Raw genomic sequence first — 24,979 nt, 5'->3', positions numbered from 1 at the left:
GGGCTCTTGCTGCAGGGAAGGGGAAGAAGGGCTGAGGGTTGGCCCGGTCTCCCTGAGAGTGTTCTGGAGGCATGCTAGGAGGGGTCTCTGACCCTGCTTGGTAGGAGCTGAGGGCAGACCTGCACCTGCTGCCGCAGGTGGTGCTGGCAGGACCAGCAGGGGTCTGAAGCCAGCCCAAGGCTCCTCCATTTCGGGCCTCCCTGGTCTTCAGCATAACCCACCTGGGAGTCTTGGGCTTGGGGAGGAGAGGAGGTGCCCTGCTGCTCCCAGCCCTCCACAGCCAGACCGTCTGTTGTCTTCTCATGATCTTGTAGTTCCTTGCCCTGGCAGGTGTACCTGATTACCAATGTCCCAGCCCAGCTCCTCTGGGAAGCCTTCCCTTCCACCGGAGGGGCAGGTCAAGCAGCCATCTCTGTAACAAGTTTTCTGAGGGTTCTAACACAGGCAGGCAGGGAACCACCTTGTCCAAACCAGCTCTGGGCTTGCAGCTGAAACCAGCAGTGTTGCTTCTCTTTCCAAACCCACCTACGCAATCTGCTCTCTCACAATAGGAAGAACATGGCTCCTTGGGCAGGGATCCTGGCTTAACCACCCTCTATCCCCCAACCCCAACCCTGGCCGAGAGCCCAGGAGGGTGGTTTCACAGATCTACCACCCTCATCCTTTCCTTCCACAAATTACTACTGAGCCCCCCTCTATGCACCAGGCTCTGTCTGAAGCGCTGAGGAGAGAATCTCAGCTCACTTCTTCATGGGAGAGGCAGATGAATAGCAGAAAATAGATATGAATGTCAGCCTCTGATTATAAAATTAAACAGGGAAAAATGAGAGTGGCACAGTGGGGTGGGTAGGGGAAGACCTTAGAAATGTGGCCAGGGAAGGCATCTCTGGGATGTGACGTTTGAGAAGAGACCTGCAGGAGGTGCCTTTTGAAGATCTGGGAAGGAGTTTCCAGGCACAGGAAGAGCCAGTGCCAAAGTCTCAGGGCAAGAGCAAATGAGGAGGGAAGGGGTCTGAAAGGGAAGGAAGGCAGGCAGGCGAAGCTGGAGCACCCCACAGCCAGGGCTGAGATCAAAGAGGAGGGCAGGGCCCGATGGGTGGGGCAAGGTCTGGGTTTCATTTTAGACGCAGAGGCAGCCCCCTGAAGGGTTCTAAGTAGGAGAGTGAGGTATTCTCATTTAGTTTTAATCTCTCTGGCTGCCAGTGAGTCCCTCCCTAAAGTTCCCCTTCCTCCCTCCCCAGCAATCTAATCCACAGATGAGAACCCGGGAGCATAACTGGTAGCCGGGGCTGCTGACCCTGGCCCAGGGTCTGCAGGGTTAATCCCGGGGGCCTGGAGCAGCCCCTGATTAGCAGGCCCTGCCACTCCCTGCTGATAAACTCCCAGGCAGGAAGAGGCAGGACTCATCCGGTAGGAAAGTGGAGAAACCAAAGCTGGTGAGGAGGGGAGCTCCAGGAGCACCTTAGGAGGGCTCTCTTCCCCTTTTGGAGGTGGTGAGTTCCCTAGGTGAAAGCCCTCTGGTTTTATCCCTCATTTGGCATTTTCATAGCCACTCTTACAGTCAGGGCCTGGTGTGGATTTTATGGGCCCCTGTTTAAGGAAGAGAAAACAAAATTAGGTGCAGGGCTTTAGAAGAGCCATGTGTACATGAGGTCCCCTGAGACCTAAGCTTCACTAGCTCCATGGTAAGTGTCCATCTCTAATTTTCCATCAGGGGAATAAGCCCTGTATACAGATGAGGAAGTTGAGGCTCTGAGAGCCTGAAAGGGATATAGAAAACAGAAGGGTTTCTGCTGGGATTTCTTATCCCCCAGCCCAGAACTCATTCTACCACCCAATCCATCTAAAAATCCAGTTGTGCCTTCTCCTTGCAGACCTGCTCCCACCACCAGGCTCAGGCCACAAGGAAGGGTAGCATAGGGCATGGTGGAGATGGGCGGGCTGGTGGCAACCTGCAGAGGGAAAGGGCTTAGCATGAAGCAGCATCCCTGTTGGGGACAGGATCCTGGGTGGCCAGGATTCCATCTGCCTACCAGACATTCCAAACCACACATTGTTTTTTTTTTTTTTTTTTTTTTTGAGACAGAGTTTTGCTCTTGTTGCCCAGGCTGGAGTGCAATGGTGCAGTTTTGGCTCACCGCAACCTCTGCCTCCTGGGTTAAAACAATCCTCCTTTTGCTGTGAACCGAGATCACGCCTCTGCACTCCAGCCTGGGTGACAGAGTGAGACTCCGTCTCAAAAAATTAAAAAAAGAAAATAAAGGAATCCTCTTGTCTCAGCCTCTCCAGTAGCTGGGATTACCAGCGCCTGCCACCACGCCCAGCTAATTTTTGAATTTTCAGTAGAGACGGGGTCTTACATGTTGGCCAGGCTGGTCTTGAACTCCTGACCTCAGGTGATCTGCCTGCCTCAGCCTCCCAAAGTGCTGGGATTACAGGCATGAGCCACTGCGCCTGGCCCCCAAACCACACATTCTAAACCACCTGGAGGTCAGAGCAGCGGCTCCGGGATCTGGCTGAAGATCAGAATCCCTGGGAATTTGTTAAAATGCCATCCCTGGGCTCTAATCCAAAGCTGCAGAATGAGAATTGCCAGGGGTGGGACCAGAAATTTGGGCATTGAACACACTTTCCAGGTTCTTCTTCAGCACAGGTGGGCTGGAACCCCTGATTTAACCATCAGCCTTGCCTCCTGGGGGTCTGCCTACCTGTGCCAGGGTGGGTCCCCAGGAGTTATCAGGGACAAAGGAATCCCCTTTTCCTGGCAGGGGTGAATGTGAGTGTCTAGGGCTGACTGCTCACATGATAGCATGGAGTCTCAGCTCTGGCCAGCATGACTCTGGGAAGACGAGGACAAGACCCAGGGCTTGGTGGGGACGGGCTTTGCCAGGGCATGAATCATGCTTCTAGTGCTTCTAGGGGAGCCATCTCCAGGACTCCCTCCCCTCACCTCTAGAATGGAGTTGAGGAGGCCTGACACGAGAATTATTAAAGCACTTAGGATCCTTCTGGTGACCTTTAGAGAAGCTGTGCTGTGTGCCAACACAGTCCTAGAGGGAAGAAAGACACATTCCTGATGACAGACAAGGAAGCTGAGGTCCTGAGAGGTAGGGTAACTTGTCCGAGATTACCCAACTAGGAACTGGCAAGACTGAAATTTGAACTCAGGGTGGTCTGATTTCAGGGCATGTCATTTTTAGGCCATCCTGTCTTGTTTGGCTCTCTTTTCATTTCCTGTCATTTCGCTAGGTGATATTCATTGAGCACCTCTTTTGTGCCAGTGGAGAGCTGGCACCTCCACTCCACCGTTCTGCAGTGAGGTTGGATAAGGCACGAGGTGGTGGCCCTCTGGAAACTGTAAAGTGCTCTCTGGCCTTGGAGGATTCTTCTCAACCGTGTGGCTCAGCTCTCTCTGTGCTTTCTTCACAGCCTAACTGGGCTGGGAGAGTGCTATCTCTGGCTGAGAGAACCACAGACTTCAAGATGTATGAGGGCTACCTGGGAAGCTTGTTAAAATGCAGATTGGAACCACCCCCAGAGATTCCAATTCAGTTGGTCAGAGCTGGGCCTTGGGCTATGCATTTTTGACAACTGTCTAGATTGTCTGCTGCGGGTGGTTTGAGCATTGCACTTTAAGATATGGTACACTATAATAGAAAGACAAAAGTCAGAAGAAAGACGTAGTGACCATCTGGCAGCCCAAGTCTTAGATAATGAAAGTTAAGGACTTTCTTCTTGCGAAAATGCATAAACTCACCTACATCCAAGATTTTGAAGTTTCAGGAAGTTTTGGGTCCCTGAAGGCCAGCCATGCAATTATGGATCCTTGGACCCCAACTTAATAACCCCTGATCTCCATGCTAGGCTCACAGGTCACCTGGGCAATGAAGGCCCCCCTAGGCCTCCCAATAAAGTTGCTTCTCCTCTGTGTTCCTGTAACACAGTAAGGACTTAACTCCATCAGAGTTGTGGTTTACCCTATTTACGCCTCTCCCCCTGGACTGTGGGGCATGTGGAAGTCATTTTCCTCCTCCTTCCCGGCGCAAGGTAGGATTATACTGTCCTGTCCCCTTTGAGGTTAGACATATCCATGTGATTACTTTAACCATGAAATGTTAGCAGTAGAAACTATAAGCCAGTGTGTGAGTCCCCAAGTTTGCTTCACCTTGCCACAGTGATCTTGCAAATGTGTCAAGGTGGAGGGTCCACCAGCCCCTGTCCCTGAGTCACTGGGTGAACAGAAACTCATGCTGACCTGTGTTGGACATGCAGTGTGAGTAAGAAATAAACCTGGGGTATTTTTTTTTTTTGAGATAGTCTCGCTCTGTCACTTAGGCTGGAGTGCAATGGCATTATCTTGGCTCACTGCAACCTGTGCCTCCCAGGTTCAAGCAATTCTCCTGCCTCAGCCTGTAGCTGGGATTACAGGCACCTGCAACCATGCCCGGCTAATTTTTGTGTTTTTGTAGAGACGGGGTTTCACCATGTTGGCCAGGCTGGTCTCAGACTCCTGACCTCAAGTGATCCGCCCGCCTCGGCCTCCCAAAGTGCTGGGATTACAGCATAATCCCACGCCTGGCCAAAGCTAGGTTTTTTGTTACTGTAGGAAAACCTGGCTTGTCCTGATTGATACAGGTGCTTTGAAGGCTGAGCCCCTCTCTGATTGTGCTTCGGGTCTCCAGTTCCTGGCAGAGGCTGGCACAGAATAGTGCTCAAGAATCACACCAGTTCCCATTTATGAGACCTTGCTAAGTGCCGGGCATGGTTCCCTGTTATTTCATCTAAAACTGCCAGCCACCCGTGAGTCAGGCGTCATTACTCCCATTCTGCAGATGAGGAACACTTCTGGTTAGCAAGTGGTCTGGGAAGCCAGTCTCTAATCTCTAGTGCCTTACCTGCAGAGTCACATAGCACATAGCACAGGCGAGGGGTCTCTCTTGCAACTCACTAGGCCGATCACTTCTGTCTGAGCCTCAGTTTCCACAGCGTAAAATGGCTTAATAATAATGCTTGTTCCCGAGTTGGCTGTGACATGTAAAATGCCTGGTTATTGTTTTTCATTATGAGGCTACTCGGCCTCTGATGGAAGTTGTTTGAGAGAACAAATGTATGGAGAAAGGTAGAGTGAAGTGGAACCTGGGATTTGGTGTCTGGGGACACACTGGGAGCCAAGAAGCAAACCTGGCTCTCTGTCCCTGTGTCCTCAACTGATCTGGAAGGTCAGTTTCTATCTACTGAGTCCCTACTGTGCACCAAGTTCCATGCAAGATGCTTTCCATGCATCAGTTTATTTAATCTGCCTTTGACCCTGTGGGGGAGGGACTGTTATTCACTCCCATTTTAAAGATAAAGAAACTGAGGCTTAGGGAAGTCAAGGATCTTTCCCAGTGACTCACTGTAACGAGAGGCAGAGTCGGGGCGGGAGGAGGACCTGGCTGACTCTGCAGCCTGGAATTTGAACCTCTTCATGACATGTGCCCCCCTTCCCTAGGGGAAAAGGAGCAGAGATAGGACAGTGGCAGTGCCTAGGTCTCTGGGCTCCCCGTCCAGCGCTCTTTCTCCTTTACAACCGTTTCTCCGTTTGCCCTGAAGGTGTGAAAAGCACACGCACATACACACACTTCAGAAAAAGCAAGCAAGTGAGGAACTCGCCGGGTGGCCCCTCCCCACCCAGCACCCAGCAGCCCTCTCTGTGCCAGCGCAGACTCCCTGTCACCACCATGATTGGTAGACTAAACAGCTGGAGCGGAGCCGGCCTCCTTGCTCCCTCTCGCCAGGGCGGCCGGCTGGGGCTTTCAAAGACCGGCCTCGCTGCTATCTCCCCCATCAGCCCCAGCAGCATTTAGGCACTTTCTTCAAACACCCAGCCAGGGCATGATGGTTAACGTCAAATCTGGCAGCAAGTCATAACCTATAGGGCTGGGACATTTATCACGGCCTGGGGCCCCTGGGGACTTCAAAGGGGCCTGAGAGGTGGGGGTTGGGGGACTCTGAGTGGGGCTTTTCCTCTACCCAGAGCCTCAGATGTCTCATCAGAGCTAGAGGGATCAAGGGGCTACCTCAGCTGTTCAGCCTGAATAATAATAAGGATAATAATAAATATTGATGACTAATAATAGCTGTGTATTAAGAGATTACTTACCTCCAGGACACTTTGTGTGTTTCGTCTCAGTTAATGCCCATGGCCACCCTGTGGAGCATTTGTTGTTATTTTTATCCTCATTTCAGATATCAGAAAAGGAGGGCACAGAGAGTTTAAGCCATTTGTCCAAAGTCACACAGCTAATAATAAAAATAGCCTCATCAACAATATTTGTCATTATGGAGTGATTGCCATGTGCCAAGCACTTTGTGTGTGATATCATTTGCTCTTCCATGTAGTCTATGAGATAAGCCTTATTTTTCCCATTTTAGAGATGACAAAATAGTCTGAGAGATGTTGGGTGGCTTTCTCCAAGTGACATGACTGGTAAGTGGCAGAGCTGGGATTCAAAAGCAGATCTTTGGTATACAACCCCCATTGCTAAATCTGACTGGCTTAAAAAAAAAAAACAAAAAACAAAGCTATACCTGGCTCCTAATCACCTTGCAAGACAGACTCCTGTGGCCGGGGCCTGGGGTCCTGAGGGGCAGACCTGTCCTCCTCATCCTTGTCACTGTCTCCATCATGCTCCAGGAAGCCAGAGAGTGGTCCTGGGTGCCCTGCTGTCAGATCCCAGGCCTGACAAGGATCCTTGGCACATCCCAGGGCCTTCTGACTCCTGAAGGGCAAGGTGGGGACACAGGGGAGCCAGGGCCTTTGCTTCCACCTAGCTTACTGGCAAAGTCTAAGAGGGGAAAGGTCTCATTTATTCACATGGCCCCTAAGGGTTTCTCTGGCTCTAGGCTGAGGGTGGGATAGTCCCAGGAATTGGCTATGGGGAGGGTGGTGTGGAATTTAACCCCTTGGCTGGGATCCTGCTCTGAGTCAACTTTTGGTGTGAGGACAGAGCTTTTCCTGAGATGGGGATAGTTTTTCTACAAAGCTCCCTGGAGCCATTAGACAAATTAACCAAATTTTACAAATACTATGCACACCTAAAAAGTACAGCTACTCCAGTACTGCTGAGAACAAACAGAGTGAAACAAACATTTGAAGCAAAGAACAAAAGTGGTCCCTACTCATGTGGATAAAATTCCCTCCATGAGGCCACATGCAGTAAGTATCCCAAGAGAGGATGCTCCAGAAGTCTTCCTGGAGGAGTTGGTATCTGGGCAGATGGAGGAGATGGGGACAGAGTGTATGTGGAGGCAGTAGGGCCAGTGTGTTAGGGTTCTGCAGGGAAACAGGACCAATAGGATACACATGTATCACAGACAGATAGAGAAAGAGAGAGAGAATTTAGGGACTTGGCTAACATAATTGTAGGAGTTGATACATCTATCTGTAGGTTTGGAAATTCAGGCAAAAGTTGATGCCGAATCTTGAATCTGGCAGCTGGAAACTCAGGCAGAATTTCTTCCATTTGGGGAAACCTCAGTGTTTGTTGTTAAGTCTTTCAAATGAGTGGATGAAGCCCACCCACCTCCTGGAGGCTGATCTGTTTTACCCAAAGTCTGTTGGTTTAAAATGTTGATCAGATCTAAAAAATATTTTCACAGCAACATCTACACTATTGTTTTTCTCTCCTTAGAAATAGAGTTTCACTCTGTCGCCCAAACTAGGGTACAGTGGCACAATCATAGCTCACTGCAGCCTCGAACTCTGGGGCTCAAGCAACCCTCCCTCCTCAGCCTCTGGAGTAGCTAGGACTACGGGCATGTGCCACCACACACGGCTACACTGATGTTTGACCAAAAACTGGGTACCATAGACTAGCCACACTGACATAAAATTAACCATCACAAAGGAAATATTGTGTGATTCCTCTTCTGTGTGATACCTCAGATAGTCAAATTCCACAAAGACAGAAAGTAGAACAGTGGTTACCAGGGGCTGTGAGAGGGAGGACTAGAGAGTTATTGTTCATGGGTATAGAGTGTGAATTCGGAACGATGAAACAGTTCTGAAGGCGGATGGTGATGATGGCGGTATTACGATGTGAATGTACTTAATGCCACTGGATTATACACTTAAAATAGTTACAATGGTGAATTTTATGTTACATATATTTTATCACAATAAAAGAAAAATTAACTGTCACAGTCAAGGAGGGCCTGGCTAGGCACAGTGGCTCACACCTGTAATCCTAGCACAGGAAGGCTGAGGCAGGCAGATCACTTGAGGTAAGGAGTTTGAGACTAGCCTGGCCGACATGGTGAAACCCTGTCTCTATTAAAAATCCAAAAATAAGCTGGGCGTGGTGGTGGGTGCCTGTAATCCCAGCTACTTGGGAGGCTGAGGCAGGAGAATTGCTTGAACCAGCGAGGCGGAGGTTGCAGTGAGCTGAGATCACGCCAGTGCACTCCAGCCTGGGCGACACAGAGAGACTCCATCTAAAAAAAAAAAAAAGTAAAAATAAAAACAATCAAGGAGGGCCTAACCAGGAAAGGGTGATGGGGAGGCAAGGCCCCTGTGAAGTTCACTCCTGCAGTTCCTCATGCAGCAAATGTTTTATGTTAAGCCTACCCGTGCCAGGACTACGCCAGGTATGGGAGGACAGCATTGAATGACAAAGTGAGTCCCCCTGCCATACGGCACTATGTTCCTTACGTACTTTATCTCATCTTGTGATCACAATGAGGCCGTGAGGGAAGCATGTCAATATCCCCATTTTACAGATGAGAATGCTGAGGCCCAGAGGGGTGCTGTGACTTGCTCAGGGTCACCCCATAACCCAGAGGCAGAGTGAGGACTGAAATACGGATCTCTCCAACACCCAGGTCATTCTGGAGGAGCACAGGCTGAAAAAGACACATAGAACTTTTGTTGTTGGTGTTCCAAGGAGTTTGGTCGTAAAATAAAGCAGAAATAGGAAGTGGTAGTTTGAAGAAGAAAAAGAACTGGGGAGGGCTTTCTTTTAAAAATGGGGAAGATGGTTTATATTCTGTGGGGGAGAAACTGGCAAAGGGAGAAGGGGCAGGAGCAGGGTGGGATGGCCCAGGGGGGTCGTGATGGAAAGGAAGATGGTGTCAGGAGAGGAAGTGGAGAAATTCTGAAGAGAGGCAGGGGAAGCCACGGCCCTGAAGGGCCAAGGAGTCTCCTTGGACAGGTAGAAGCCCAGGGCTCTGGCACAGAGTGTGGGGGCAAAAGTCAGGTGAGGCTGAGGAGCAGGGGACCCCAGGAATGGGGTACAGAAGGAGGCAGCAAAGAGCACTGGCTCTAGAGTCCGAGGGCTGTAGGCTCCAAGTTCAAGCCCCAGCTCTCCCTGGGTAGCCGTGCAGCTTTGGGCTGGCCACAGGAGCTCTCTGGACCTCAGTTCAAGTGGAGATAAAAATAGGTCATGGAAGGCCGGGCATGGTGGCTCATGCCTGTAATCACAGGACTTTGAGAGGCCGAGGCGGGCAGATCACCTGAGGTTAGGAGTTCGAGACCAGCCTGGCCAACGTGGTGAAACCCCGTCTCTACTAAAAATACAAAAATTAGTCAGGCATGGTGGCAGGCGCCTGTAATCCCAGCTACTTGGGAGGCTGAGGCAGGAGCATTGCTTGAACCCAGGGGGGTTAGGTTGCAATCAGCCAAGATCACACCACTGCACTCCAGCCTGGGCGACAGAGCAAGACTCCATCTAAAAAATATATATATGTCATTATTGAGAGTGTTAGGGAAGATACTGCATGGCAAGTGACTGGCACACAATGAGTAGCTGATCAACAAGAGAGGAGAGAAAGGATGTTTAGGCAGCTGAGAGCGCCAGCAGAGGTGCTCAGAATATTTCCAATCAGCCCAGATTGGCATCCTTTCACATCTTGGCTGCCCAGGAGCCTAGTGGGGCTGAGTGGGCTCATCCAAGACTGGGGACTGGCAAGAAAAGCGTCTCTGCTGGTTGTGCTGAGAGACGACTGAGTCCCCCTCAAACCCGCCCTACTTAGTTCTGCCTGGGATTGCCCTGGGCTAAGAGGAACTGGGGGTCCAAGAAATAATATCTCATGGGCTGTATAATTGGTGCTTAATAGATACTTGAGGTGGGCCAGGCATGGTGGCTCACACCTGCAATCCCAGCAATTTGGCAGGCCAAGGCAGGAGGATTGCTTGAGCTCAGGAGTTCTAGACCAGCTGGGGCAACACAGTGAGACTGTCTCTACTAAAAAAAAAAAAAAAAAAAAAAAAAAAAGATACCCAAGGTGGAATAAACAAATACATCTGGCTCTGCTGTTGAGTAGCTGTGTGACTCTGGGCAAGTCTCTTAGCTTATCTGAGCCCCAGTTTCCCCACCTATTAAAGTGAAGATTGTAACTGTAGCCCTCAGTTCTCCACAGTGAATATCTCAAGGCAAAAAGAAGGGTGGGAGGCTCATGGAAAGAATTTCACCATAGATATATGGTTTTTTTTTTTTTTTTTTTTTTTTTGAGACAGAGTCTTGCTGTCACCCAGGCTGGAGTGCAATGGCGCCGTCTTGGCTCACTGCAACCTCTGCCTCCTGGGTTCAAGCGATTCTCCTGCCTCAGCCTCCTGAGTAGCTGGGACTACAGGTGTGCGCCACCACACCCAGCTACTTTTTGTATTTTTAGTAGAGACAGGGTTTCCCTATTTTGGCCAGGCTGGTCTCGAAATTCTGATCTCATGATCTGCCTGCCTCAGCCTCCCAAAGTGCTGGGATTACAGGTGTGAGCCACCATGCCTGGCTGAATTTTACCGTATTTTTTACCCTTCCAGTATCAAGTGGAAATTTTGCAACACATCAGTATGAACGATAAAATATCACTACTGTGAAAAGTTTTTAAATGACTCAACTGTCTTTCCTGCCTACTTCAAATGTGTGCAGATGGGATAATGAATGGCAAAGTCCTTTGTGATGTGTAAATTGTGGAACAAATGAGAGAAAACATCAGCATTATAATTAATAGAGCACTTTGTCAATTTTTGCTGAGATTCCAGAGATTTCCAAGATCAGATCTCACCCTTCCTTCCTAGCTGCTTATTATATCCTTCAGTTCATCTAACAAATGTTCATTAAAGACCCTCTCTGTGCCAAGCTCTGTATTAGGTGTTGGTGATAGAGAAGTGAGCAAAGCAGAGAAAGCATCTGCCACCATGGAGCTTACATTTGATGGGAGAGAACAAACAAGCAAATAGCTACTATGCTAGGGAGGAATAAACACTGCTAGAAACATAGGAGGGTACAAAGTCAAAGCGGGTTCTGTTTTAGATTGAGTGATCAGGGAAGGCTTCCTTGAAGAAGTGATATTTAACCACAGCCTTACATGAAACAAGGAAGGTAAGCCAAGGGAATATTTTGGAGAATAATTCAGGCAAGGGAATATTTTAGAGAATAACCCTAAAGACAATGGCCCTGAGGTGGGAACTCAGTAGGCAGCCACCATGCATGCACCTGACCTTCAGTCACATTCTCATCACTTACCCCACCCATCCATATATCCATCCACATGCTCATCTACCCACTCATCCATCCATCTACCCATCAACCCAAACATCCATCCATTCAACCATCCATCCATCCATCCATCCATCCATCCATCCATCCATCCATCCGTGTAACAAACATCCTCCTATTCGCCTGTCCATCTACTTTGTATACCTGTCCATCCATCCATTTATTCATCCATCTACTCATCTAACTGTTCATCCATCCATCCATCCACCCATCTATCCAGCCATCATCCATCCATTCATCCATCCATCCACTCACCTCTTCATCCAACCATCCCCCATCCATCCATCCAACCATCCATCCATCCATCCATCCATCCATCCATCCATCCATGTATCCATCCATCCATCCAACATGTACTGGGGATCTGTTATGATTCAGTCATGGGGAGGCATGGAAGAAATATTGTGAAGAATTAGGTACTATCTCCACTGATAGGAATATCACAGCCAAAGGGGAGATGTTGACAGGTGCAAACAGTGTATGGCCTGGCAGTTGATAGTGTGTAGTCCATCACTTGCCACGTATTTTTGATAAGAAAGTGCTCTCAGTGTTTCCCCATTTTCGTGGTTTTAGGAAATCTCACTCAGGTTTCATAGCTCAGGTCCCAGCCACTGCTCCATGGTACTTTTATGGTCCTTCCACTTAGAGTTCACTGCCCCTTCTAGCTTGAACCTCCATTCTGCAGTATTGTACTCCATCTTGTTTGGAGTTCCTTGTGTAAATTTGAGTCTCCACCACTGGTTTAGGAGTTTCTTAAGGTCAGAGTTAAAATAAATAATAATAGGCTACCACATATTTGGTGTTCATAACTACATGCTTGGTATTGTGCTGAACACATTTTAAATACATAATCTTATTTATTACTTAAAATACACAGCAGGAGACCAGCTTTCCTACTAGGGAGGTACTATTATTAATTATCCCCATTTTACAGATGAGGAAACTGAGGCACAGATAATAAAGTGATTTGCCCACATCACAAGCTAGTAAGTGGCAGAGCTGGGACTTACATCCTAGGCTTTCCAACTGCAAATGCCATCTCTTAAACACTGTACCACTTACTGCCTTAGCCATCTTCTACCTTCATAATCCTGTGTCAACAAGTGAGTGATAAGCAGGAAGAATGCTGCACACCGAAGTGGGTAAGTTCATGGCTCTGACAGGCAGACTGTTTGGTTTGAATCTCACCTTCACTACTGGGACTCAAGTTTGGTGACCTTGTCCCTGGTCAAGTCAATTAACCTCTCTATGTTTTGGTGGTTTTGTGTATAAAATGGGGATAATCATAGTACCTATCTCATAGGTTTATTGTGAAGTTAAACAATGATTCATGTCAAAAAAGGTAGGTTGATGGATGGCACATGGTAAGCAACCCGTAAAAGTTAGCTATTCATTTTATTGCATAAAGATTGCAACTTTGGCAGGGCGTGGTGGCTCATGCTTGCAATCCCAGCACTTTGGGAGGCCAAGGCAGGCAGATCACGAGGTCAGGAATTTGAGACCAGCCTGGCCAACATGGTGAAACCCCGTCTAAAATACTAAAAATACAAAAAAAATTAGCCGGGCATGGTGGCACACACCTGTAATCCCAGCTACTCAGGAGGCTGAGGCAAGAGAATTGCTTGAACTCAGGAGGCGGAGGTTGCAGTGAGCCAAGATCGTGCCACTGCATTCCAGTCTGGGTGACAGAGTGAGACTCCGTCTCGAAAAAAAAAAAAAAAAGATTGCAACCTTATCTATCTCACAGTTTACCTTCATTGTTTTTTCACAATTTGCCTATCCTATTTTACATTCTTTTTCTTTTCTTATTTTTTTTAGAGGCAGGGTCTTGCTATATTGCCCAGGCTGGTCTCGAACTCCTGGCCTCAAGTGAACTTCCTGCCTTGGTCTCCCAAAGTGCTAGGATTATAGCTGTGAGCCACAGAGGCTGGCTTTTCATTCTTGCTGTACATTATTTGATACAGGCTGTTCCTAAAATTGCCAGAACTTTTTTTTTTTTTTTGAGACAGAGTCTTGCTCTGCTGCCCAATCTGGAGTGCAGTGGTGTGATCTCACTGCAACCTCCACCTCCTGCGTTCAAGTTATTCTTCTGCCTCAGCCTCCCAAGTAACTAGGATTACAGGCATACACCACCACACCTGGCTAATTTTTGTATTTTTAGCAGAGATGGGGTTTCACCATGTTGTCCAGGCTGGTCTCGAACTCCCAGCCTCAAGCGATCTGCCCGCCTCAGCCTCCCAAAGTGCTGGGATTACAGGTGTGAGCCACTGCACCTGGCCTGCCTTGGGAACTTTTAAAGTATGTCAGGACCCACAAGAGGAGGATCAACTTTAAACAGGGATGTAGAGGGACTCACCCGGTGAGGGCGGGTGGAGGAGGAGGGTCCCCACCATCAGCCTTCACTGGGACGGGAGATGCTGAGTGGGCTCAGGCGGCACTTATCTGCCCCTCCCTGGGGGCCTGAGTCAGTCGGGACTTCGAAATTTCCAGGGCCTCCCTGTAAATCACCCTGGGTGATTTATACGGAGACACCCAGTCCACTAATCTGGTAAACAGGATCAGCAGGGCCCAGCCAGATTTATGGGCTGCCAGCAGGGCCTTTCACCACAGGAGGTGTGCATGGAATGACCCTGCTCCTCCTGACCGCTAGCCGGAGCATCCTCATGGGCAGGGGTCATGCTGCCCGGATGCCAGGCCCCACTCTGCTCCCTCAGCTGTACTGCTGCTGTTGGATGGCTCCCTTTCCCTCTCTGGGCTCCAGACCCCCCAGGGCCAGGTGTTCATCGATCAGCTGACATACTGTGAGCATGTGGGGAAGCCAAAGGGACTGTAAGTTGGCCTTGGTGGAGGGACAGGCCTGGAATGCTGCCCTTATTTCAAATTCTGGCTCAGATATTTCCTGTGATTCTCTGAGCCTTAGTTCTCTCATGTCTAAAGGTGCCAAGACCATTCAATGGGAAAAGAACAGTCTTTTCAACAAATGGTACTGGGAAAACAGGATATCCACATGCAAAAGAATGAAGCTGGACCCTTACCTTACACTATATACAAAAATTAACTAAAAATAGATCAAAGACCTAAACTTAATAACTAAAACTATACCACTCTTAGAAGAAAATATGCGGGAAAATCTTCATGACCTTGGATTTGGTGTTGATTTCTTTTTTTTTTTTCTTTTTGAGGCAGAGTTTTGCTCTTGTTGCCCAGGCTGGAGTGCAATGGCAAGATCTCGGCTCACTGCAACCTCCGCCTCCCGGGTTCAAGTGATTCTCCTGCCTCAGCCTCCCGAATAGCTGGGATCACAGGTGTGGGCCACCATGCCCAGCTAATTTTTGTATTTTTAGTAGAGACGGGGTTTCTCCATGTTGGTCAGCCTGGTCTTGAACTCCCAACCTCAGGTGATCCGCCCACCTCAGCCTCCCAAAGTGCTGGGATTACAGGCGTGAGCCACCATGCCTGGCCTTAATTTCTTAAATAGGACACCAAAAGCACAGGCCACACATGCCAGAAACAAACTGGACTTTACCACAAAATTAAAAACTTTTGTGCATTGAAGGTTTTCTCTCACCATCAAGAGAGTAAAACTTACAGGATAGAAGAAAATATTTGCAAATCATATATCTGATAAGGGAGTAACATCCAGAATATACAAAGAACACCTGCAATTCAACAACAAACAACCAAACAACCCAATTAAAAAATGGGGTGCTTGGTGTGGTGGCTCATGCCTGGAATCCTAGCACTATGGGAGGCTGAGGTAGGAGGATCACTTGAGGCCAGGAGTTTGAGACCAACCTGAGCAACATAGTGAGATTCCAACTCTCTCTTTTTTTTTTTTTTTTTTGAGACAGGGTCTCCCTCTGTCGCCCAGGCTAGAATGCAGTGGCACAATCTTGGCTCATTGCAACCTCTGCCTCCCAGGTTCAAGTGATTCTCCCACCTCAGCCTTGTGAGTAGCTGGAATTACAGGCTTGTGCCACCACAGACCAGCCAATTTTTATATTTTTAGTAGAGATGGGGTTTCACTACATTGGTCAGGCTGGCCTCCAACTCCTGACCTCAAGTGATCTGCCCACCTTGGCCTCCCAAAGTGCTGGGATTACAGGCATGAGCCACCACACCCTGCAGAGACTCCATCTCTTAAGAAAAAAAAAAAATTGAAAAAAACAGGCAGTTGTTGTGACATGCGCCAATAGTCCTAGCAACTGAGAAGGCTGAGGTGGGAGAACTGCTTGAGCCCAGGAGTTTGAGGTTACAATAAACTATGATCTAGCCACTGCACTCCAGCCTGGGCAACAGATCAAGACCTTGTCTCAAAAAAAAAAAAAAAAAAAGAGTAGGGACAAAGGACTTGAATAGACATATCTCTGAAGATGATACCTACATGGCCAGTAAGCACATGAAAAGATACTCAACATCATTAGTCACTAGGGAAATGCCAATCAAAAGTACAATGAGATATCACTTTATATCCACTTGGATGGCTATTATTAAAAAAACAAAAACCAGAAAATGGAAAATAACAAGTGTTGGCAAGGATGTGGAGAAATTGGAGCCCTTGGGCATTGCTAGTGGGAATGTGAAAGGGTGCAGCTGTTGTGAAAAATCCTTTGACAGTTCCTCAGAAAGTTAAACATAGAGTTACAATATGATACAACAATCCCACTCCTAGATATACAACCAAAATAATTGAAAACAGAGACTCAAACAGATACTTGTACAACACTGTTGATAGCAATAGTGTTCATATTCACCATAGCCAAAATATAGAAACCATCCAAGTGTCCATCAGCAGGTTAATAGATACACAAAATGTGGCATATAGAGTAATACCCCCTAATCCTCAAGGGATATATTCCAAGACCCCCAGTGGATGCCTGAAACTTGGATAGTACTGAACCCTATGCATACAATGTGAAAATATCAATTGCATTCCTATGTATTCACAGGTATTGTATTCCTATGAAAAGATATCTTTTATAATACCAACTAAAACTATAAAGATATCTTAGACTAAATATACCAAAAGAACTTCTTAGAGAAAATTCTAAAACATTGAAAGGTATAAAAGGAGTGCATACATATACAGCATGGACACGCTGTACTAAGAGATGACTCATTGTCCTGGCTAGGATGAAGTGGGACATTGTGAGATTTCATCATGCTACTCAGAATGGCATGCAACTTAAAACTTATAAATTTTTTATTTCTGGAGTTTTCCACATAATATTTTTGAACTGTGGTTGACTGCCAGTACCCTAAACCACGGAAAGTAAAATGCAGATAAGGGGGCACTACTGTACATACAATGAAATATTATACAGCTTAAAGGGGAATGACCTTCTGATACGTGCTACAATATGGATTAACCTCGAAAACATTACGCTAAATGAAATAAACCAGACGCAAAAGGACACATATTGTATGATTCCACTTATATGTGGTATCTAGAATAGACAAATTCATAGAGGCAGAAAGTAGGATGATGGTTACTGGGGGTCGAGGGTGGGGGAAATGGGGGGCTATTGCTTCATGGTACGGAGTTTCTGTTTGGTGTGATGAAAAAGTTTTGGAGCTGGATAGTGGTCATGGTTACACAACATCATGAATGTATTGAATGTCACTGAATAACATCCTTAAAAATGGCTAAAATGGTAAACTTTGTGTTATGTATATTTTACCACAAAAAACACACACACAAAAGACTTGGAACCAAACCAAATGCCCATCAATGATAGACTGGATAAAGAAAATGTGACACATATATACCATCGAATACTAGGCAGCCATAAAAAAAGAATGAGTTCACGTCCTTTGCAGGGGCATGGATGAAGCTGGAAGTCATCCTTCTCAGCAAACTAACACAGGAACAGAAAACCAAACACCACATGTTCTCACTTATAAGTGGGAGTTGAACAATGAGAACACATGGACACAGGGAGGGGAACATCACACACCAGGGCCTGTCGGGGGTGTAGGGGGCAAGAGGAGGGAGAGCATTAGGACAAATACCTAATGCATTTGGGGCTTAAAACCTAGATGCTGGGTTGATAGGTGCAGCAAACCACCATGGCACACATATACCTATGTAACAAATTTGAACATTCTGCACATGTATCCCAGAACTTAAAGTAAGAACAGGCTGGGCACAGTGGCTCACGCCTGTAATCCCAGCACTCTGGGAGGCCGGGGCGGGCAGATCACAAGGTCAGGAGTTAGAGACCAGCCTGGCCAATATAGTGAAACCCTGTCTCTACTAAAAATACAAACTTAGCCAGACGTGGTGGTACATGCCTGTAATTCCAGCTACTTGGGAGGCTGAGGCAGGAGAATCACTTGAATCCAGGAGGCGGAGGTTGTGGTGAGCTGAGATCACGCCATTGCACTCCAGCCTGGGCAACAAGACTGAAACTCCATCTCAAAAAAAAAGTAAACACACACACACACATACAGACATACACAAAATGATGATGCGTATTTTAGTTTTAAAAGGTGTACATTAAGCCAATATAACACTTGCTTTTGTATATGTGTGTGTTGTGTGTGTATGTGTTGTGTTGTATGTGTGTGTGTCCCATGTGAGTATGGGAGTGAGTGATGAGGATAAATGGGAAGAGAGAAAATAAATTTGTAAACTTCAGGCATCATGGACTGACAGTGGTAATATGCCATGAACAGAGGAGGTGGTTAACTTGACCCTGCAAATCTGAGATCTAAGAAACAGACATGGCCGGGCATGGTGGCTCACACCTGTAATCCTGGCACTTTGGGAGGCCAAGGGGCGCAGATCACCTGAGGTCAGGAGTTTGAGACCAGCCTGACCAACATGTTGAAACCCCGTCTCTACTAAAAATACAAAATTAGCCAGGCGTGGTGGCACATGCCTGTAATCCCAGCTACTCGGGAGGCTGAGGCAGGAGAATCGCTTGAACCTGGGAGGCAGAGGTTGCGGTGAGCCGAGATCACGCCATTGCACTCCAGCCTGGGCGACAAGAGCAAAACTCAGTCTAAAAACAAAACAAAACAAAAAACAGACATACGAACTCATCCTGGAGATAAGAACAATGGCCAATGAAGGGCTAAGATATTATACCAGGCCATGAAATGGGCATGTAGCTGTCCATCGTATTATTCCTTTTGGTTTATGTTTGAATAGATAGGTTTCATGAGAAAAGCTAAAAACAGCAAATCGGAGTTGATGGAGTGCAGGGAAGCCCAATGGCCTGGGATTGGGGACTGGCGTGCACCTCCCTACTCACTGGTTTAGTGTATTTAGACTGCACTAATTTAGTGTTGAAGACTTCGATCTACAGCTACCTGTCAGTAACTTGGGCCTAGCACCACTGTATGCCAGAAGTGGCACATTTTATGTGTGTCTGCTCTGCCCCTTCCAGAGACTGTGGCCAGGAAACCATTCGGAGAAGTCTGCAGTGAATGGCAGGGCACCAGGTGAATGAGGGGCTTAGATGTTTGAAGGGGAAGAGGGCCCTGTGGTCTGAACCTATCCTTCCAGGCTTCAGGGAGGTGCTGATGACGGGGCACACACTGACCTTGAAGGGAGCATGTGAAGCAGACAGGTAGAGAGGAGGAGAGAGAACAGGAGTAAAACACCTGGTATAAAACAGCTGGAATAAAAATGACAGATTTGGACAAAGGAGGGGGAGGGGGAGGGGAGAAGGGAGGCAGAGAGGCAAGGAAGAGAAAGAAGTGGCTGGTGGGAGGGACATGGCCCACAGGAAACCACCAGCCAGGTCCATTGACTCATTCATTTATTCATTCATTCGTTTGTTTATTTATTCAACATGCATTGAATGCCTACCACATGCCAGACCCCACACTGGGGGCAAGGGATGCAGCACCCTAAATAAGGCAGACAGGGCTCCTGTCCTCATGGGGTGCCTACCAGTGGGAACAGATGTTACAAACACATCAAATGAAATAAGATAGTCTCTGAAGGCCACCAGCGCTGGGAGGAAAGCAGTAGGGTGCAGGAGAGACCAGGTTGTTTGGAGGTGGCCATGAAAGACCTTCAGGCCTGGTGGAGGAGAGGAGTCAGTCTTATGAAAAGCAAGGGAAAACCATCCAGGCAGGAGGAGCAGCAGCAACTCCCCTCGGATGTAGGAGAACATCAGAGATGGAGAACATGGTTGCCATGGAAACCCAGCATCACACACCTATGCCCAGAGGCACCACAGCCCTTTTCATTGTCCTAACTTTATCTCTAGAAAGGCCCTCAGGAATCACTCAGTCCTTTAAAGAAATGGGGAAACTGAGTCATAGGGAGGTGCTTTCCTAAGGTCACAGCTTGCCCGTGGGGAACCCAGTCCTCCTGACCCCATTTGGATCCTTTCCTCATCCCTTCTTTGAGATGGGGATTTCTCTCATCTGGACATGCCTTGGGAGAACTGGCCAAAAGGGAGAGGAGACATGGATGACTCCATCTTTCCACAGGCGCAGAGAGACATGACACTTGAGCCTACAGACTCAGGTCTTGGGGACAACTCAGGCTATTTTTGCCAAATAAAAACATAGGATTCACACGTCTCCTGGGAGTTCACCTGAACTACAATGATAAGGGAGAGTTTCCTTTCCTTTTCTAACATTTTTCACTTCAGGCCTTAAAAGACTTGCAGTTTGGGAGGTGGGGACAGGAGAGCTGTTTCCACAGAACTCAAGGCTCCTCGCTGATGAGGAGCAGCAGACTTGAGGAGTCCTGAGGGACAAAAGTGGGTCGCCAGTGGGTGGGTGTTGCAGGAAGACAGATTTCAGCTCAACACCAGAATGTACCTTCTCACTCCTCTGGGTGTCGATGGTGGAAGGGTTTAGAAAGCTGAATGGCCATCCATTAGGGAGATGACTGAAGAAGGTGGGAAGTTGAGCTTCTGAGATATTTTCCAGCTTGGAGTCAACAACTACACAGGTTAATGACTTAGGATCCAACCATGAAATTAATAACATAACAACTATCAAATGTTACTTGAATTCACAACTGAATAATGATCACTTCAATTTCCGTGTTTTATGTATGGTCCTTGGCTGCTTGGTTGGTCCCCAAAGGTGTGTCACTGGGCACACAGACTCAAGGGCTCCCAATATGTTACTCTCTTAATTTTGTTACAGGAAAGGAAGGAGCTTGGCTGAAAAGTGACAGCCTTAAGCATTTCCTTTCCTGCCATAATGCATTGCAGCAAATACTTATAATATTTGCGATGACTGCTCACTGTATTCTGGGCCAAGCTACAGCACTTAATTCTCACAATAGCCCTGTGAAGAGGTTCTATAAGTACCTCTGACTTTAAGACTTTTTTTTTTTTTTTTTTTTGAGGTGGAGTCTTGCTCTGTCGCCAGGCTGGAGTGCAGTGGCGTGATCTCAGCTCACTGCAATCTCCGCCTCCTGGGTTCAAGCAATTCCCCTGCCTCAGCCTCCCAACTGGGACTACAGGCCAGTGCCACCATGCCCTGCTAATTTTTTGTATTTTAGTAGAGATGCAGTTTCACCATGTTGGCCAGGATGGTCTCGATCTCCTGACCTTGTGATCCGCCTGCCTTGGCCTCCTAAAGTGCTGGGATTACAGGTGTGAGCCACCACACCCGGCCAACTCGAAGACATTTTAATGCTATTATTCTTTGTTGTCCATGTGAAGGAGCCTTTGAATTTTCTCCTGATGATTGGAGGGGATTTTCATTTGCACAAGTGGTTCTGATGTGAGGTCTAGCATAATCAGCTCCAGCAAAGAGGAACCTGCCAAGCTCTTTGCAAGCCCCGAGGAAGAGAAGCAGAGTCTGTATGGAGGGCTGAGGAGAGGGCCATGTGAGGAAGGTGGCATTTGTGCAGCACTGAGAGTGTGTGTGTGTGTGTGTGCACACATGCTCATGCACGCTAGCCGCGCAAGAGTTTTGTGTAATTCAGTGACACAGTCTCTGATTCCAAAAGTGAATTCCAGGCCACTTCAAACATATCCGGAAATCATCTTGGTACTTCTAGATTAAGTAGAATGGGCAAATAGCAAGAAGAATAAAGATAGGGGGTGGGATTCATTTTTTTTTTCTCTTTCCAAACATTGGCAACAGCTAACAACGCCGTGTTTTGAGTGCTGGGTGGACAGCCCGGGTCTACCAACCCTCTACGCCACTCGGTGTCTACCTCCCTTTCACCTACTCAAGGCTGAGGGCACATAGGGTGGATGTGCAAACCCACAACCCTAGGAGTGGCCGGGAGGATCAACTGTCGCGTTTTCTGTTTTGAATGGAACTTTAGTGCATTTCTGCTTGATTCTTTGGGCCAAATTTTTGAAAAAAGAGGTGCTTTTTTTCTTTTAAACCTGAAAACAAATTGTAGCTGAGGGAGAAAAAAAGGTGTTGCTTCATTTCAAGCTTGGTGCTATTTTTCTAAGATCTGGTTTCCTAAAAAGTAGGATAAAACAAATATCTCTTTACCACAACTGGGCTTTCTAATGAGCTCCCCTGTGTCCTCCCCCTAAATTCAAACCACTTGTCTCCACATAAAATCTCCCGACCCCTTTTAACACCCTTCTGAAGGAAGGGCCAGCCCCAGCTGGCAACCCCTGGCTGCAAGCCACAGAAGGCGTGTGGCTCAGGAAAAGGCGTGTGCTGAGAGAGAGTGGGGTCGCAGCCATTTGAGAAGCCTTTTTTGTTAAGGCTGGAGATGTCATCCACAGTGAGAAAGCATCAGGGCACACACAGATGGGGACCCCAAGGATCTCAGGCCACTGCAAATTTGACACAGTCTGGCAGAAGATGTGCAGCCCTCAGAGGGAAAAAAAATTCCATTTCCACATTCTTCTGCCCCGGACGCCCACTGGATGTTTACACATCCCTGGGAGAGGTTATCTCCACTTGACTTGAACCAACACCAGGCCTCCAATGGTGGAACCTGGGGGATGTTCAGAAAGGCGTCTGTGTGTGTGTGTGTGTGTGTTGGGGGGGGAGGTGAGGAAGTCAGGGGTTCAGAGGAGAGGCTCCTTGGAATCCAGAGACCCACAGAATCTCCTTGGTTTCTGGCCCTTCTCCAGCCACTCCCTGCCAATGAATGGAGGAGTCCTTTCTTTTCCTTCTTTCTTTCTTTCTTTTTCTTTCTCTCTCTCTCTCTCCTTCCTTCCTTCCTTCTTTCTTTCCTTCTTTCTTTCTTCTTTCCTTCTTTCTAACTTTCTTTCTTTCTCCAACTCCCTGGTTCAAGTGATTCTCTTGCCTCAGCCTCCCGAGTAGCTGTGATTACAGGCACGCACCACCATGCCCAGCTAATTTTTATATTTTTAGTAGAGATGGGGTTTCACCGTGTTGGCCAGGATGGTCTTGATCTCCCGACCTTGTGATCTGCCCGGCTCAGCCTCCTAAAGTGCTGGGATTACAGTTGTGAGCCACTGCGCCCGGCCAGGAGGAGTCCTTTCTTGAGGATGTCAAGATGTGGGGAGGCTGCTGCTGCTTTTGACTAGTTGTGCCACCTTGAACAAGTCATTTCCCTATTCTGGGCCTCAGTTTTTCTGAAACTGTAAAAACAGCCTGTTGGGTAGAGGGTTCTAACTGATAGCTTTTAACATTCTGCAGACATTGGCCTTTGGCAATCTGATGTCAGAATATCTCTCTAGAAAATGCAGGTTACATGTGCAGATTCCAAGTTTTACTTACACATTCAGGGGTTCTTGGAACCCTTGAAGTCCTCTTTTTTTTTTTTTTTTTTAAAGACAGGGTCTGTCTCTGTCCCCATGCTAGAGTGCAGTGGCATGATCATGGCTCACTACAGCCTCGACCTCAGTCTCTTGAGTAGCTGGGATTACAGGCTCATGCCACCAAGTCTGGTTAATTTTAATTTTTCTTTTTTTCTTTTTTTTTTTCTTTTCTTGAGACAGAGTTTCTGCTCTGTTGCCCAGGCTGGAGTGCAGTGGTGCGATCTCAGCTTACTGCAACCTCCACCTCCTGGGTTCACGATTTCTCCTGCCTCAGCCTCCGGAGTGGCCGGGATTACAGGTGTCTGCTACCACACCCAGCTAATTTTTGTATTTTTAGAGTAGAGCCAAGGTTTCACCATGTTGGCCAGGCTGGTCTCGAACTCTTGACCTGATGATCCACCCGTCTCAGCCTCCCAAAGTGCTAGGATTACAGGCATGAGCCACTGCACTAGTTAAATTTTTTTTTTTTTTTTTGAGACGGAGTTTCGCTCTTGTTGCTCAGGCTGGAGTGCAATGGCGCAATCTTGGCTCACTGTAACCTCCGCCTCCCAGGTTCAAGCGATTCTTCTGCCTCTGCCTCCCTAGTAGCTGGGATTACAGGTGCCTGCCACCACATCCAGCTAATTTTTATTTTTTTTAAGTAGAGATGGGGTTTCACCATGTTGGCCAGGCTGGTCTCGAACTCCTGACCTCAAGTGATCTGCCCACCATAGCCTCCCAAATTGCTGGGATTACAGGCATGAGCCATGGCTCCCAGCCGCCCATTTTTATTTTTCATTTTTTATAGAGACAGGGTTTTGCCATGTTGCCCAGGCTGGTCTCAAACTCCTGGGCTTAAATGATCTGCCAGTCTTGGCCTCCCAAAGTGTTGGGATTACAGGCATGAGCCACCATGCCAGCCTTTGAAGTCCTTTTAAGGACTTTCTGTAAGAGCCCTTGACCACAGCTGATAGGTGTTTAAGAAACGTTTGTGGGATGAATGAATGATCTCTTCCAACTCCCACTTTCCAAGAGTATATCATTCTAAGCACTCAGTTTCATTCTGCTTAGGCATGTTCTGAAGACAGAAACAAAGATCCACAGGAGAAACGCCTGTCTGCATGTTACAGGCACCCACACACAGGCCTTCTGACTGCCTTTCCTTTGACATACATAGGTTTTTCAAGCCCCTACTATGTGCTAGGCACTGGGGGTATGGTGATGAGCAGGATGACCCTTCCCTGCCTCCATGGAGCATATGGTCTAGCAGTACTGGGCAGAGACTTGTGCCAGACCTGGGGGTGCAGCAGGGCACAGATACAACCCTGTTGTCGGGGCCACATTGTGACTTTCATGGGTCTTGGACACTTTGCCTTCATGTGTCCCTTCTTCAATTAGAAAGTATTTTAAAATATTTGCCACTGTGTTGTGAATCCACGTTGGATTCATTGCTATATATTAATTCTTATTATATTCCTTTTTCTCTTCCGATTTAAAAAGATATGAACATTAAACCATTTTTATGGACTACTAAATGTATTGTGGGCCTTGATACTGTGCCTAATGGGTAAATTGGCCCAGCCTGCAGCTCAGCTTTACCCACCAGATAATACAAAATATAAGGTGGCTGTCACCAAGCATATGTTTCCGAAAGAGAGGCTGTAGGATGGCAGAAGTAGAAGAGGTTAGAGAGGGCTCAAGGGGAGATGGCAGGAGCAGAGCCCTAAGGGGGTGAACAGGACTGAATCGATGGAGCACAAAAGGCATCTGGACTGGGGA

General features: G+C 47.6%; 1 non-coding gene across 1 annotated transcript, besides 2 other annotated features; it reads left to right on the top strand.

Moving 5' to 3' along the window:
• Positions 5,245–5,762: an enhancer, noted in NCBI's record as "H3K4me1 hESC enhancer chr5:153983757-153984274 (GRCh37/hg19 assembly coordinates)". NCBI's record gives its function as "activates a minimal SCP1, AML or CMV promoter by ChIP-STARR-seq in naive H9 embryonic stem cells {active_cell/tissue: H9 hESC(naive)}" and the evidence as "EXISTENCE:reporter gene assay evidence [ECO:0000049][PMID:30033119]".
• Positions 5,763–6,281: an enhancer, noted in NCBI's record as "H3K4me1 hESC enhancer chr5:153983238-153983756 (GRCh37/hg19 assembly coordinates)". NCBI's record gives its function as "activates a minimal SCP1, AML or CMV promoter by ChIP-STARR-seq in naive H9 embryonic stem cells {active_cell/tissue: H9 hESC(naive)}" and the evidence as "EXISTENCE:reporter gene assay evidence [ECO:0000049][PMID:30033119]".
• Positions 13,887–13,947, top strand: MIR3141 (microRNA 3141). Its single transcript, NR_036094.1, has one exon. It is a non-coding gene; the product is annotated as a microRNA 3141 (primary transcript).
• The last annotated feature ends 11,032 nt before the right edge of the window (positions 13,948–24,979 follow it).

The sequence above is a fragment of the Homo sapiens genome, chromosome 5 (assembly GCF_000001405.40).
Source record: "Homo sapiens chromosome 5, GRCh38.p14 Primary Assembly".
Classification (NCBI taxonomy): domain Eukaryota; kingdom Metazoa; phylum Chordata; class Mammalia; order Primates; family Hominidae; genus Homo; species Homo sapiens.
The sequence above is the reverse complement of the archived record's forward strand: the minus strand, read 5'-3'. Positions and strand labels throughout refer to the sequence as shown.